We start from the raw sequence: 16,373 nt of genomic DNA, 5'->3' as shown, positions 1-16,373 counted from the left end.
GCCACTAAACAAAATCCAAGCTGGAATTCTAGATCTAATATAACACACCTAGCATAGTCGCATGCCTAATTAATACGTAATATGATCTCTATACTTCAGACATTTTAGGGACTATCCTTTCCTTGATTAATAATACCACTAATTGGCCAGGCACGGTGGCTCACGCCTGTGATCCCAGCACTTCGGGAGGCCAAGGCGGCAGATCACCTGAGGTCAGGAGTTCGAGACCAGCCTGGCCAACATGGGGAAACCCAACCTCTACTAAAAATACAAAAAAATTAGCTGTAATCCCGGGCACCTGTAATCTCAGCTACTTGGGAGGCTGAGGCAGTAGAATCACTTGAACCCTGGAAGCTCAGGTTGCACTGAGCTGAGATCGTGCCACTGCACTCCAGCCTGAGGGACAAGAGCGAGACTTCGTCTCAAAAAATAATAATAAAATAAAATAAAATACTACTACTAATAATGATGTTATTTGAAAATGATGGACAAAATCATCAGCCCTGTTATATTACTTTATCTGTTCACTCCAGACACTGTCTACATACAATATGGATAGCCTTATATCCCCAATTATGTGTCTTCTCTCCCCTTTTAAGTGGAAAATTATTTTTTCTTTTGTTTCTTCCAAATTTTATACATATGCAGATTTGTTACATGGGTGAATTGTGTGACATTGGGGTTTGGTGTAAAATTACTCCATCACCAGGTAGAGACCATAGTACACAACAGGCAGTTTTTCAATCCTTACCATCCTTCCTTCCACCTTCAAGTAGGCTCAGGTTGTCAATTTTTCCCTTCTCTGTGTCAATATGTCCTAAATGTTTAGCTTGTATTTATAAGTGAGAATATGTGGTATTTGATTTTCTGTTCCTGCATTAATTCACTTAAGATAATGGCCGCCAGCTGCATCCATGCTGCTGTCAAGGACATGATTTCATTCATTTTTATGGCTGTGTAGTATTCCGTGGAGTATATATACCACATTTTCTTTATTCAATCCACCGTTAATGGGCACCAAGGTTGAGTCTATGTCTTTGCTGTGGTGACTAGTGCAGAGATGAACATTCAGGGGCATGTATCTTTACAGTAGAATGATTTCTATTCCTTTGGGTATATACCCAGTAATGGGATTGATGGGTTGAATCATAGTTCTAAGATCTTTCAAGAATCTTTAAAATTCTTTCCACAGTGACTGAACTAATTTACATTCCCTCCAGCACTGTGTAAGTCTTCCCCTTTCTCCACAATCTCACCAGCATCCCTTAATTTTTGGCTTTTTAATAATAGGCATTCTGACTCATGTCAGAGCAAAATTCAATGCGGTTTTGATTTGCATTTCCCTAATGATCAGTGACGCTGAACATTTTTTTTCATATGTTTGTTGACCCTGTGTATGTCTTCTTTTGTGAAGTGTCTGTTCATGTCCTTTGCCCATTTTTTATGAGGTTTTTTTTAGCTTGTTAATTTGTTTAAGTTCCTGTATTAGTCCATTCTCACACTGCTGTGAAGATATACCTGATACTGGGTAATTTATAAAGAAAATAAGTTTAATTCACTCACAGTTCCACAGGCTGTATGGGAGGCATGGCTGAGAGGCCTCAGGAAACTTTTAGTCATGGCAAAAGGTGAAGGGGAAGCCAGCATATCTTTATATGACAGCAGGAGAGACAGAAAGTGAAGGGGGAAGTGCCACACACTTTTAAACCATCAGATCTCATGAGAAAAACTCACTATCATGAGAAAAACAAGGGGGAAATCCACCGCCATGATCCAATCACCTCCTACCAGGTTCCTCCTCTAACAGTGGGAATTACAATTCAACATGAGATTTGAGTACAGAGCCAAACCATATCAGTTCCTTATATATTATAGATATTTGACCTTTGTCAGATGTATGGTTTGCAAATTATTTTCTCCCGTTCTGTAGGATGTCTGTTTGCTCTGTTGATAGTTTCTTTTGCAGTGCAAAAGCTCTTTAGTTTAATTAGGTCCCACTTGTCAATTTTTGGTTTTGTTGTAATTGCTCTGGGAGTCTTTGTCATGAAATTTTTGCTGGGGCTGATGTTCAGAATAGTATTTCCTGGAATTTTTTCTAGGATTTTTAAAGCTTTAGGTCTTTCATTTACATCTTTAATCCCTCTTGAGTTAATTTTTATATATGGTTGATATGGTCTGGCTTTGCCCCAACCCAAATCTCATCTTGAATTGTAGTTCTCATAATCCCCACATGTCATTGGAGGGACCTCATGGGAGGTAATTAGATTGTCAAGGAGATTCCCCCATGCTGTTCTCATGATAGTGAGTGAGTTCTCACAAGATCTGATGGTTATGAGTGTCTAGCATTTCCCCATCTGGCCTGGCACTCATTCTCTCTCCTGCTGTCCTGTGAAGAGGTGCCTTCCACCATGATTGTAAGTTTACTGAGGTCTCCCTAGCCATGTGAAACTGTGAGTCAATTAAACCTCTTTTCTTTATAAATTACCCACTTTTGGGTATTTCTTCATAGCAGCATGAAAATGGACTAATACAGTAAATTGGTACCAGGAGTGGGTGCTGCTGTAAAGATACCTGAAAATGTGGAAGTGACTTTAGAACTGGGTAACAAGCAGGCATTGGAACAGTTTAGAGGGCTCAGAAGAAGACAGAAAAATGTGGGACAGTTGGAACTTCCTAGACACTTTTTGAATGGCTTTGACCAAAATGCTGATAGTGATATGGACAATGAGGTAGAAGTTGAGGTGTTCTCAGATGGAGATGAGAAACTTCTTGGGAAATGGAGCAAAGGTGACTCTCGCTATGCTTTAGCAAAGAGACTGGTGGCATTGTGCAGTGCTTTAGGGATATGTGGAACTTTAAACTTGAAAGAGATGATTTAGGGTATCTGCTGGAAGAAATTTCTAACTGCAAAGCATTCAAGAGGAAGCAGAGCATAGCAGTTTGGAAAATTTTCCGCCTGATGATGCGATAAAAAAGAAAACCCCATTTTCTGGGTAGAAATTAAAACTGGCTGCAGAAATTTGCATAAGTAACAAGGCACCAAATATTAATCACCAAGACAATGGGGAAAACATCTCCAGGGCATGTCAGAGACTTAATCGCAACCCTCCCATTGCAGGCCTGGAGGCCTGGGAAGGAAAAGGATTTCATGGGCTAGGTCAAGGGCCCCTCTGCTCTTTGCAGCCTCAGGACATGGTGCCCTGCATCCCAGCTGCTTTAGCTCCAGCTGCTCCAGCTAAAAGGGACCAAGGTACAGCTGGGGCCATTGTTTCAGAGTGTGCAAGCCTCAAGCCTTGGCAGCCTCCACGTGGTGTTGGGTCTGAGGGTACAAAGAAGTCAAGAACTGTGGTTGGGGAACCTCCACTTAGATTTCAGAGGATGTATGGAAATGCCTGGATATCCAGGCAGAAGCTTGCTGCACGGGCAGAGCCCTCATGGAGAATCTCTGCTGGGGCAAGTGTAGAAGGGAAATGTGGGGTTGGAGCCCCCAGACAGAGTCTCCACTAGGGCATTGCCTGGTGGAGCTGTGAGAAGAGGGCCATTGTCCTCCAAACTCCAGAATGGTAGATCCACCAACAGCTTACACCATGTGCCTGTGAAAGCCAGGGACACTCAATGCCAGCCTGTGAAAGCAGCCAGGAGGGGGGCTGTACCCTGCAAAGCCACAAAGGTGGAGGTCTCCAAGACCATGGGAGCCCACCTCTTGCAATAGTGAGACATGGAGTTAAAGGAAATCATTTTAGAACTCTAAGGTTTAATAACTGGCCTGTTGGATTTCAGACTTGCATGGGTCCAGTAGCCCCTTTGTTTTTGCCAATTTCTCTAATTTGGAATGGGTGCATTTACCCAATGCCTGTACCCTCATTGTATCTAGGATGTAACAAACTTGCTTTTGATTTTACAGGCTCATAGGTAGAAGGGACTTGCCTTGTCTCAGACGAGACTTTGAAGTTGGACTTTTGAGTTAATGCTAGAATGAGTTAAGACTTTTTGGGGGACTTTTGGGAAGGCATGACTTGGGTGTTTTGAAACGTGAGGACATGAGATTTGTGAGGGGCCAGGAGCAAAATGATATGGTTTGGCTGTGCCCCCACCCAAATCTCATCTTGAATTACAGTTCCCATAATCCTCCTGTGTCACACGAGGAATCTTGTGGGAAGTGATTAGTTTGTGGGGGCAGTTCCCCCATGGTGTTCTCATGATAGCAAATGAGTTCTTATGAGATTGGATGGATTATAAGCATCTGGAATTTCCCCAGCTGGCACTCATTCTCTCTCATGCTGCCCTGTGAAGAGGTGCCTTCCACCATGATTGTAAGTTTCCTGAGGTCTCCCTAGCCATGTGGAACTGTGAATCAATTAAACCTCTTTTCTTTATAAATTACCTAGTCTAAGTCACAGTAGCATGAGAATGGACTAAAACAATGGTGAAAGGAAGGAGTACATTTCCAGTCATCAGCAAATGGCTAACCAGCTACCCAGTATTATGTATAGAATAAGCAGTCCTCTCCCTTGTGCTTGTTTTTGTTGGCTTTGTATAAGATCTGATGCTTGTAGGTGTGCAGCTTTATTTGTGGGTTATTTAACCTGTCCCAGTGGTCTATGTGTCTATTTTTGTATCAGTACCACGCTGTTTTGCTTACGGCAGCATTTGTAGTTTGACTCCTGGCAGTGTTATGCCTCTGGCTTTGTTCTGTTTGCTTATGATTGCTTTGATTACTCAGGCTCTTCTTTGGATCCACATGAATTTTAAAATATTTTTTTCTGTTTCTTTGAAAAATGTCATGGGTAGTTGGTACAAAGAGCATTGAAACTTTAAATTGCTGTGTGGAGTACGGCCATTGATTCTTCCTATTCATGAGCATGGGATGTTTTTCCATTTATTTGTGTCATTTCTGATTTCTTTGGACAGTGTTTTGTAATTCTTGTTTAGAAATCTTTCACCTCCTTGGTTAGCTGTATTCTCAGGCATCTTCTTCTTTTTGTGGCTATTGTGAATGGGATTGTCTTCTTGATTTAGCTCTCAGCTTGAATGTTATTTGTGTATAGAAACACTGATTTATATACATTGCTTTTGTATCCTGAGACTTTGCTGAAGTTGTTTATCAGATCTAGGAGCCTTTGGGCAGAGACCATGGCATTTTCTAAGTACAAAATCACATAATAGAGATAGTTTGATTTCCTATCTTCCTATTTGGATGCCTTTTATTTCTTTCTTTTGCTTGATTGCTCTGGCTAGGACTTCCATTACTATGTTGAATAGGAGTGGTCAGAGCAGTCATCTTCGCCTTGTTCCAGTTCTCAAAGGAATGCTTCCAGGTTTTGCCCATTCAGTATGATGTTGGCTGTTGGTTTGTAATAGGTGACTCTTATTATTTTGAGGTATGTACCATTGATGACTAGTTTGCTGAGGGTTTTTAACATGAAGGAATGTTGAATTTTATTGAAAGACTTTTCAGCATCTATTGGGATGACCACGTGGTGTTTGTTTTTAGTTCCGTTTATGTGATGAATCACATTTATTGATTTGCATATGTTCAACTAACCATGCATCTCACAAATAAAACCTACCTGATCATGGTAGATTAGCTTTTTGGTGTGCTGCTGGATTTGGTTAGCTTGTATTTGTTGAGCACTTCTGCATCTAGGCCCATCAGAGATACTGGCCTGAAATTTTCTTTTTTTGTTTGGTTTCTGCAAGGTTTTGCTATCATAGTGATACTGGCTTCAGAGCATGAGTTAGGAAGGGTCCTGCTTTCTCAAGTCAATGGAATAGTTTCAGAAGGATTGGTAATAGCTCTTATTTATACATCTAATAGAATTTGGCTGTGAATTTGTCTGGATCAGGGCTTTTTGTTGTTGGTAGGTGTTTTGTTACTGATTCAATTTTGGAATTCATTATTGGTCTTTTCGGGTTTTAATTTCTTTCTAGTTCTATCTTGGGAGGTTGCATGTTTCCAGGAATTTATCCATTTTTTCCTAGGTTTTCTACTATGTGTGCTTAGAGTTGTTCATAATACTCTCTATTTTTTTGTGTGTGTTTCTGTGGGTTGGTGGTAATGTCCCCTGTCATTTCTGATTGTGTTTATTTGAACCATCTCATTTTATTTGTCTACCTAGTGGTCTATCAATCTTATATATTCTTCAAATCATCACTTTTGGTTTTGTTGATTTTTTATAATACTTTTCAATACTCCATTTCACTCTGTTCAGCTCTAAGTTTGGTTATTTATTTTCTTCTGCCAGCTTTGGGCTTTGTTTGCTCTTGTTTCTTTAATTCCTTTAGGTGTGATGTTAGCTCTTAGCTGTTAACTTAAGCTCTTTCTAACTTTTTAATGTGCACTTAGTGCTATCACCTTTCCTCTTAACACTGTGTTAGCTGTGTCACAGAGATTCTGGTGTATTGTATCCCTGTTTGCATTAGTTTCAAAGAATTTATTGATTTATGCCTTAATGTCATGTTTGGCCAAAAGTCCTTCAGGAACAGGTTGTTTAATTTCCATGTAATTGTAAGTTTTTTCAGAGATCTTCTTGTAATTGAGTTATAATTTTGTTGCACTGTGGTCCAAGAGTATGGCTGGTATAATTTTGGTTTTTATAATTTGTTGAGAATTGCTTTATGGTTGAGTGTGTGGTTGATCTTAGTGTATGTGCCATGTGCATATGAGAAGAATATATATTCTCTTTTTGTTGGATGGAATGTTCTGTGGATGTTAGGCACATTTGGTCAAGTGTCAAGTTTAGGTCCCAAATATCTTTGCTGGTTTTCTGCCTTGATATTCTGTCTAATACTGTCAGTGGGGTGTTACAGTTTCATACTATTATTGTGTGGTTATAGAAGTCTCTTAATTGGTCTCTAATTACTTGTTTTATGATCTGGGTGCTCCAGTGTTGGGTGTACATATATTTAGGATAGGTAAGTCTTCTTTTTGAATTGAACCCTTTATCATTATGTAATAACCCTCTTTGTGCTTCTTGATGGTGGTTGGTTTGAAATCTGTTTTGTCTGAAATTAGAACAGCTACCTTTCCTCATGTTTTCTGTTTTCTTGATGGATTTTTCTCTATCCCTTTACTTTGAGCCTATGGGTGTCACTGCATGGGAGATGGTTCTCTTGAGGACAGCATACATTTGGGTCTTACTTCATTATCCAACTTGCCACTCTGTGCCTTTTAAATGGGGTGTTCAGCCCATGTACATTCAAGGTTAATATTGATATATGTGTATTTGATCCTGTCATCATGTTAGCTGGTTGTTTAGACTTGACTGTGTAGTTGCTTTATAGTATCAATAACCCATGTAATTAAATGAGTGGTTTTACTTTTTTCTTTCTTTCTTCTTTTTTTTTTTGGTGGCCAGTAATGTCTTTTGATTTCATGTCTAGCACTCCTTTAAGGACCTCTTCAAAGGCAGGTCTAGTGGTAATGAATTCTCTTAGCATTTGGTTGTCTGAAAAGGATTATATTTTTCCTTCGTTTAGGAAGCTTAGTTTGGCTGGATATGAAATTCTTGGTTGGAATTTTTTTTCTTTAGCGATGCTGAATATAGGCTCCCAATCTCTTCTGGCTTATAGAATTTCTGCTGAAAGGTCCTCTCTTAGCCTGATTGGGTTCACTTTGTAAGTGATTTGCCCCTTCTTTCTAGTGTCTTAAATATCTTTTCTTTTGCATGTATTGTCCTTGAAGAATACGACGATGATGTGTTTTGGGGATGGTCATCTTGTATACGATTTTGCAAGGATTCTCTGAATTTACTGAATTTGAATGTTGACCTCTCTAGTTAAGTTGTGAAAATTTTGTGGATAATAACCTCAAATGTTTTTCACATTGCTTTCTCTCTCTCCCTCTCCTTAAGGGATGCCAATGAGTCATAGGTTTTGTCTCTTTACATAATCCCATATTTTCTGGAAGTTTTCTTCCTTTTTTAAAATTCTTTTTTCTTTATTTTTGTCTGACTGAGTTGATTCACAGAATTAATCTTCAAGCTCTGAGATTTTTACCTCACCTTACCTCTGCTCTGCTGTGAATACTTCGAATATAGAATGAATTTCTTGTAGTGAGTTTTTCACCTCTATTAGATCAGTTTGGTTCTTTCTTAAAATGGCTATTTCATCTCTCAGCATTTAAATCATTTCAGTAGATTCCTGGGATTGGGTTTCAACTTTCTCCTGAATTTCAATGATCTTCATTGCCATCCAGATTCTGAATTCTATATCTGTCATTTCAGCCATTTCAGTCTGATTATGAACCATTGCTGGGGAGCTAGTGGGTTGTTTGGAGGAAGAGGACACTGGCTTTTAGAGTTGCCAGGATTCCTGTGCTAGTTCTTTTCCATCTGTTAGGCTGATGTTCCTTTAATCTTTGATGTTGCTGTCCTTTGGATGAAGCTTTTTGCTTTTATATTTTTTGATTATTTTGACCCTTTGACTATGGTATAAGTTGGGTTCCATCAACTGGCTTCATTTCTCAATGATTTCAGGGGGCCAAGGCTCAGTTTAGCACTCTTGGTCTGCATGCTCTAACCCTAGGTGCTGGGACTAGACCCATGGCTTTGTTCTCTGACCTGCTATCACTGGAGGGGCCAATGTGTCCCCAGTCTGCTGGCAACAACACTCCAATGGGGGGTATGGGGGGTGGGCAGCAACAGTGCTTTGTCAGAGTGGTGGCAGTTGAGTCCATGTACATGTATGTGCACCAGCGCTGGCATAGCAGCAGGGTCCACACATACACATGCTCCAGTGGGGGTACAGCAGCAGGGTCTGCAAATGCTGGCAAACTGGTGGGCGATGCTGCAGATGAACGCATGCTGGCAAAGTGGTGTGGGGGAGGCTGCATGTGGTTACACACTGGCTGGGGCCCATCTGCAAAATATCTCTGATGGTTAGCCAAGGTCTGTCAGTAAAAAAGCTATGGTAGTGGCTTTTAAGATGTGCCCCATATGAACATCTGAGGCTGTGCTGCAAGAGGGTGTGGCCAGACAGGGACACTGAGAGAGGCTGGCAGACAAGGGGGTATTCAGATTAGATTGGCCCAATCCCATGGGCAAGATAGCCCTGTTCTGAACAGAACCAACAGTCAACAAAGACCAAAGCCACCCAGAGGAATTTGGCGAGTCTTGAGGCGTGAGTGTAACTGGCAATACTCCACTGTAGCAGTTCCCACACCAAACTCTCTGGGCTTCATAATACTGAGTCGTGACCCTGCAAACTCTCCAAGCAGCAATCTCTCCCAGCCTAAATGTCCACAGGGGTCATGGGGTCTCCTGCTGCTAGGATTCTGGAGGTCTGTGGCAAATGTGGGCCACAAACCATGCCTATTTAACTCACCCCTTCTCCAGGAAGCACACAGGACCAAGAATGGGTCTTGCTACTAAATAACCACATGCAGGGTTCTCTGCTCCCTCCCCCTTCAACCCAGGATCTGAGTCCTTCCTCCTTCCATTCTCTATTACTTCCTTCAGAAGATCTGCTTGGATTGTGCATCTTTTTGATGGTCCGGCCTCTCAGTGGGAGAAACTCTTCCTGTCTGTGTCTAGTTAGCCATCTTGAAGGGAGTTAAATAGAAATTTCTTGACAGCAGTGACAGTATCTTTTAAAACTTTTTATAATTCACAGCAGTGACAAAACAACATAAAAATGTGTAAGAGGATGTTAAATCCTTCACTTTTTAAAAATATTGGATAGAATCTTAGAACAGTACTTTGAGTATAAACCAACACATAACAACATGGTATAATATTTTGTTTATGTACATTAAGAGACTAACTTGTTGAAAATTTCATTGTATTACTCAATGTGTGGTCCAAGGATTAACATCATGAATATCACCTAAGTGCTTTTTAGAAATGTACAATCTCTGGCTCCACTTCAGAGCAACTGAAATCAGAATCTGCATTTTAACAAGATTCCGAGGTAGTGTGGCATAATGTCTGACAGACACCAATATCTAGTTTCTTCAGAAAGTCAACTGATTTTCTTAGTCATCTAGCACATTGTAGGCTAGGAGCCCTTTCATTAAAGATTGTATCTATATGGGATTAGATAAATTTTTTAGAGGACCCAAGCACTGAAAATATATCCCCTTCCTATATGCAACTGAAAATAAATGTATTAAATTTTAAAAATGATATAGCTCTGATGCTTCCATTTGTGACTACTTTGATACCTTTCTTAAAAATATCATATTATTTCACAAAATATTGTTGAGGGTAACCACTTTTGCTGATGTGTTATTCCTATGCTTCCTCTGCTCCTTGAGTAATCCAATATTGCATTCAGAAAATACAAAATTTTATTAATAGTTTATATATTCTGAGTTTCACCAATCAAAATATGTAGCATAAACTCTTATTTTATAAGGCATTTTGAAACATATTACCTCAACCCAGATCATCACAGAGCTCACCCTCTGATTATCTGACACAGCTGGTTCTTTGGAACTTGTCGCTCACAGCTTAAAGACATTCATGAGCTACATAATACAAACACTTTAGCCTGACACTTCTTCATCCTCATCTCCTAGTGCCACACTACATAGTCTATCCTCTCTCACACCAGGTTTGCATCTTACTATGTCCTAACATTGCAGGCCATTCTAACCATTCCAGGCAAATTCCTAACGCCACAACTTTACCCAGATTCCTACTGCTTGGAAAATGTTCCTCCTTGTTTTTGTTGAAACAAGGTTCTATGCAAGTATAATCCAAGAATGTGAAGTTCATTGACTACTCTCAGACCCCAGTGACCCAAATACCCTTCTATTTTCTGCAATGCTTATTTAATTTTGGGACATGCATTATTAATTTGACACAAATTAGTATGGGCTTCCATGGGTTTATCTTTTCATGCACAATTTGCCCAGTAGACTAAGTTCTATATCTTATGCCTCCAGGATTCCCATTATCTGTAGTAATACTTTAAACAGAAGCAATAAACATTTCTTATTGATAGCATAATGAAGATAAATTAAAAAGAACAAAGGCATGAATTAATGTATTATATAGCCAAACAAAACTTATTTGGAAATTATATGTCAATTACATTCCTCTTTCAATTAAATATTTCAGACAGAATGACATTCAAAATTTGCAATTTAGAGTATCAGTGTGCTTAGGACAGAAGGTATTCATTATTGCCTCACTGCAGATTCGAATATAAAAAATAAAGATTGTAATCATCTTATTCAAGTACTTTAATTTGACATCCTACTGGAATCACCCACAGATTTAAAATGCAACTAAAAAGAAACAAGTTATTCTTAAATATCATGAGTTTTTAAAACATCACAATATCTTCAGACTATTAAAATAAACTTAAGCTGAAACTCAGTATTGTATTGAGTCATGTTTAGCAATGCATACTAAGAGAGTGAATTTTTAAAAATAACTTATTTTACACAATAATATTATAACGTGTTTTTTTTTTTGTTGTTTCGTCTTGTTTTTCACAGAGTCTCACTCTGTCACCAGGCTGGAGTGCAGTGGCGCAATCTCGGCTCACTGCAACCTCTGCCTCCCGGGTTCAAGCGATTCTCCTGCCTCAGCCTCCCGAGTAGCTGGGACTACAGGCTCATGCCACCATGCCCAGCTAATTTTTGTATTTTTACTAGAGACGGGGTTTCACCATGTTGGCCAGGATGGTCTCGATCTCCTGACCTCATGATCTGCCTGCCTCAGCCTCCCAAAGTGCTGGAATTTTAAAGAAGGTACTTTTAAAAATCTCAGCTGATTAGCTGATTTCTTATCTAAATGATAATAGGTTTTTTGGCCAAACTAAACTTTATAGTATCTCGAAAAACTTTAATATATTGAGTTTAAATATGTGTTACTGAAATAGGATCCTCAAATGATATACTTTTAAGCATACTTACAAACTATCAGCTTTGGAAAATGTTTGAATAATATTCACTTAGTTCATCACTTTATTTGATATAATGATATAAAGTTATTTATATAACAAAAATTGCAGCATCCAAAATAATATTGAGATTATAATCATATTTGGTGAGAAGAAAAATAAATGAAAATATGCATAAATATAATTTTAAAGTGACAGGTCTACTCATGACCTATCTCATTATTTTCCAGTCTTGTAAATATTATTTTTTATCCAGTCTCTTAAACAATATTTCATTCACTTGTGAACATTTGTTTTAAAATAATCTTTTATTAGAAACCTGCAAATAATTCAGAGCCAACTCAACCCCTAAATATCAATTTTTAAAACTAGATTAATTTGGGCTATCCTAATTATTACCAAAATCGAGTCTTACATTTTTGCATCACCTTTTCTCTTTCCTCATTTAGTAGATACTATCAACAAATACAAACAGGACAAACAGGCAAATAAATGGGTAACTATTGCTTCTATGCATTTACATACTTTTTACTTTAAGTCATGATTAATAAAGACAAAGTTCCAATCAATATTTCTAATTCTAGATGGTTTAAAAATTTCAAAGTAACAGAAATATATCACTTATACTCAAATATATAAAAATTGTAAACGTTGAAAAACACAAGCTTATTTAAAGAAAGACATTGCATTATTCATTATTTGCCACTCAGCAGTCAACTTTATGTTGCGTGGTTCAGTTAAGAAAAGAATATCATTTAAGAAAAGTAGGTTGAATGGCCACTATATGGAAGATACAAAAACAAATGAGAAACAACTTCCTTTCTGCATTTTAGCTTTTCAAGAGTTATAGTCTGAATAAATTTTAAGAATTAAAATGTGAATATTTTAAAGCAAGTTTAAAGATCACATAAACCCTGAAATATATCTAATTTATCAATGGCCTTGAATGTTTCAGAACATTTTCCAGAGATTTTAAATAAATAAAGTTCTCAAAGGAAAAATACGAAACCAAAAAATGCATATCCTGTCAAACCAATTTTTAAATAAATATCTGTTAAATGAAATATTGAGAACAATTCAAAATACATGATAAACGCTGATTCATGACATCACAAGGGTTGGATTTTTCCCAAAAAATATGAGGCACAAACAGGTTTTGTGTACATCAAATTAACCATTGACATGTTCAAGGTGCTTAAACCAACTTGGCAGTCATATACTTCAATGCCCTCATAACAGAAAATTTCGAGAAAACTAGATAGACCACAGGGTCTCAAATTGCCTATAGAGGAACTTTAAAATCCCTCTCTTCTTATTCATTGGGATTATTTTTCTGTTCTGCTTTCTTATTTTTTTTAATTAAGTAAATGTTGCTTTGTCCTATCTGGTAACCCCTCTTTGTCTTGCCTTCAGAGTACATGAACATGTGGCTCATGCTAAAGACAGAATACAAATGGAATCCTCTCCCAATTACAATTGTGCTTGGGAAGAACACAGCACGGCCTTTCACTGAGCCTAACTTGAGCCAATTCAAGGTCCCTACAACAAGGCTTATGATATTTTTTATTTTCAAATTAGTTCACCATTTAGGTTGTATCAGATCCAAGTCTGAAAGATCACTCTGACCATAATAAACCCCAAAGGGAACTAAAACTATTGCTCCTTTAACAGCCTTCTGTCCATCAAAAGAAGACAAAGATGTTAAATACCCTTTTTACATACCAGCAAATTCCATTACAACATGGCATTGTACCTCATGAAAAACTCATTACCTGAATAATAATGCTTCCTACCACATTATGGTATCATGGATACTCGGCTATCATGGATATTCCAGCCGAGTCCTCACAAATTAATTAGCAACAACACTATCGCCAACATCAAAAACAGGACAACAGTCATATCTGATCTGCAGCTGTTGAAGGACAGCTTAGAACAAATCAGTTTGAGTAGGAAAGTCATCTGAGAAGTCCTGATAACATTCATGTGCAAAGCAACCCAAAGAAACTAGGACTGAACACAGGAAATGTTTTTAAAACACAAACAGAAATAGTAATTCAAAAACAAAGAAACAAGAACACATGTAAAGTCATTTGGAATTACAGTTGGGTTAGAAGTGTGGCTATGTGATTTAAAATAAGCTACCCACCCCCTCCAGCCCCTCCCAAAAAGGGAAAAAAATCAAGCTTAATACCTGTTAATTATTTTTTTAAAATAATATTTATTGTGTATATTTAAGGTATACAACATGATGTTATAAGATGCATATATGATAAAATGTTTACTATAGTGGAACAAATTAATATAGACATCATCTCAAATAGTTATCCATTTAGAAAATATTTATGTCTCTAGCTTCTATGTCTCTTTAGGATCTCATTTGCTCTTGGTGGCTCCTACATTGTAGCACTAGCATCAGGACTGCCTGAAAAATGACTGAGTACTGTGGTTTCCTGGACAATAAGCTAGCCAGGATGGGGGCTGCCTTGTATCTTAGCAGGAGGGACCATGCAAGCTCAGCTTCCTGTGGCTCCCTCTCATCTGCAGAGGGAACTGTAATATCCCATGGATTATAAGGCCTCCAAGTGCTGCGCAACTGGGGCACATCCAGAAAAGGCTTTTAAACAGCTGGCATCCTAAACACAGGCTGCCTGGCACAAATCAGCCTGGGCCGGAAGCACTCTAGCCAGGACATGGTCTTCTACAGGATGATGGGAGGATCCGAGGCAGCCATGCCTTCTCTTCTTTTTTGATCCTGGGCTATGCAGGTTTTCCCAATAAAACCTATTCCTTAACTATATAGGCTTCATAGAACTTGTCCTGAGCCCTATGGCATACAAGGTGGAAACCTGAATGATTCTCTCAAGGGACAACACACAGAGACACAGAAGAAGGCCACCAAGCACCACCTTTGTTTATAGGCAACAGAATTTCATCTTCTACTGCTAAAGTAGTGAGTTAAAAAAAAGAACACAGAAAAAGGACTTAGAGAGTAGCTCTAAGTTACTATAAGCATTGGCTTATTGTAGCCAATATAAGGATTGGCTGACATATTAATTAACATCTTAAAGGAACTAGCCAGAATTTTAAGTGACTGTTTCAGCTTCCACCATTACCTTTTGGTTACACACAGGATTATATTAGTGGGTTAAATTTCTGAATGTCAGTTACAGGAAAATAGATATTTGTATTCCCATAATCTAGATATACAGGAAACTATCAGCGAGGGCATGTTCAGAATAAGGGATGCCAATTTTTATGAGCATAGAGATCTTTAAAAAATAATGTTACTTATTTTTATGAAATAATTGTGAATAGTCAAGACGCAGGCTTATAAATTACTCTCTACATATTATCCTACTCCTTAACTAGAAGCAACAACACATAAATTCTCACAGAATGCTCATGTAGTACTATTCTTTTGGAATAAAGGCAAGGACAGGAGGGACTCTCCATGGGGTCCTGCGTATCTTGGTTCTCATCCCAGGCCCTTCACTAGATCTTGGTACCAGTCTCTGCCACAGGCACAAAGGAGCAAAGCCTACTGTGTCCATGGTGATACCTTCATCATCTGGTAATTTCTTCAGCAGCCTACTAACTCTGGAGGAAAAGGAGAAGAAGAGTAGGAGGAAGAAGAATTTTAAAATGAAAGAATTCCACCAAGCCCCTAATTCTAAAACTTTTTGCATCATGAATCATGACTGTTTCTCAGATAATCTTTTCTTTCCCTTGAGTATAAATTCAACCTCCAGGTAACCTGAGCACTGAGAGGTGGAGCCCTTTGCCTAAATTACTGAGTAGGCACATAAAAAAGAAGGCAGGGCCAGGCGTGGTGGCTCATGCTTGTTTTCCAGCACTTTGGGAGGTCGAGGCGGGCAGATCAGGAGGTCAAGAGATAAAGACCAGCCTGGCTAAGACAGTGAATCCCCATGTCTACTAAAAATACAAAAAGTTAACCAGGCGTGTGCCACCACTCAGCTACTCGGGAGGCTGAGGCAGGAGAATCGTTTGAACCCTGCAGGCTGAGGTTGCAGTGAGTGGAGATTGCTCCACTGCACAATTCAGCCTGGGTGACAGAGCGAGACTCTGTCTTGGAGAAAAAAAAAAAAAAAAAGAAGACAGGCTGGCTGGTGCTGTGCCCTAGCCTGTAATCCCAGCACTTTGGGAGGTCAAGGCTGGAATATGACTTAAGCCCAGGAGTTCAGACCAGCCTGGGTAACGTAGCAAGATTTCATCTCTACAAAAAAAAAAAAAAAAAAAAAAAAAAGAAGAAAAGTTACACATTTGTAGTCCCAGCTACTCGGGGAGCTCAGGTGAGAGGATGGCTTGAGGCCAGGAGGCCCAGGATGCAGTGAAGCATGATTGTGCCACTGCACTCCAGCCTGGGTGACAGAAAAAAAAAAAAAAGTGGGTGAAAGAAGGCAACAATATACCTAGCTTCTACTACAGTCTGTAAAATAATCATCAACCTCTGGAGTTAGAGAGAAAGAACACAAAATCGTAAATCGGCAAGAGACATA

At 38.8% G+C, this 16,373-nt stretch overlaps 1 protein-coding gene across 6 annotated transcripts in view; it reads right to left on the bottom strand.

The window, feature by feature from the left end:
• The window catches only part of CHSY3 (chondroitin sulfate synthase 3), a 282,656-nt gene that overhangs the window by 169,782 nt on the left and 96,501 nt on the right, over positions 1-16,373 (bottom strand). Inside the window, exon 3 of one of the 6 annotated variants that reach the window (XM_005271983.5) lies at positions 5,494-15,453. The exons of the other annotated variants lie outside the window; for them this stretch is intronic. Coding sequence (XP_005272040.1) covers positions 15,448-15,453 — 6 coding nt within the window. The 3' untranslated portion in view covers positions 5,494-15,447. Of the gene's footprint in view, positions 1-5,493; positions 15,454-16,373 lie in introns of those variants that run through there. 6 annotated transcript variants of the gene reach the window in all.

The sequence above is a fragment of the Homo sapiens genome, chromosome 5 (assembly GCF_000001405.40).
Source record: "Homo sapiens chromosome 5, GRCh38.p14 Primary Assembly".
Taxonomy (NCBI): domain Eukaryota; kingdom Metazoa; phylum Chordata; class Mammalia; order Primates; family Hominidae; genus Homo; species Homo sapiens.
This window is presented reverse-complemented; position numbering and strand designations above follow the sequence as displayed.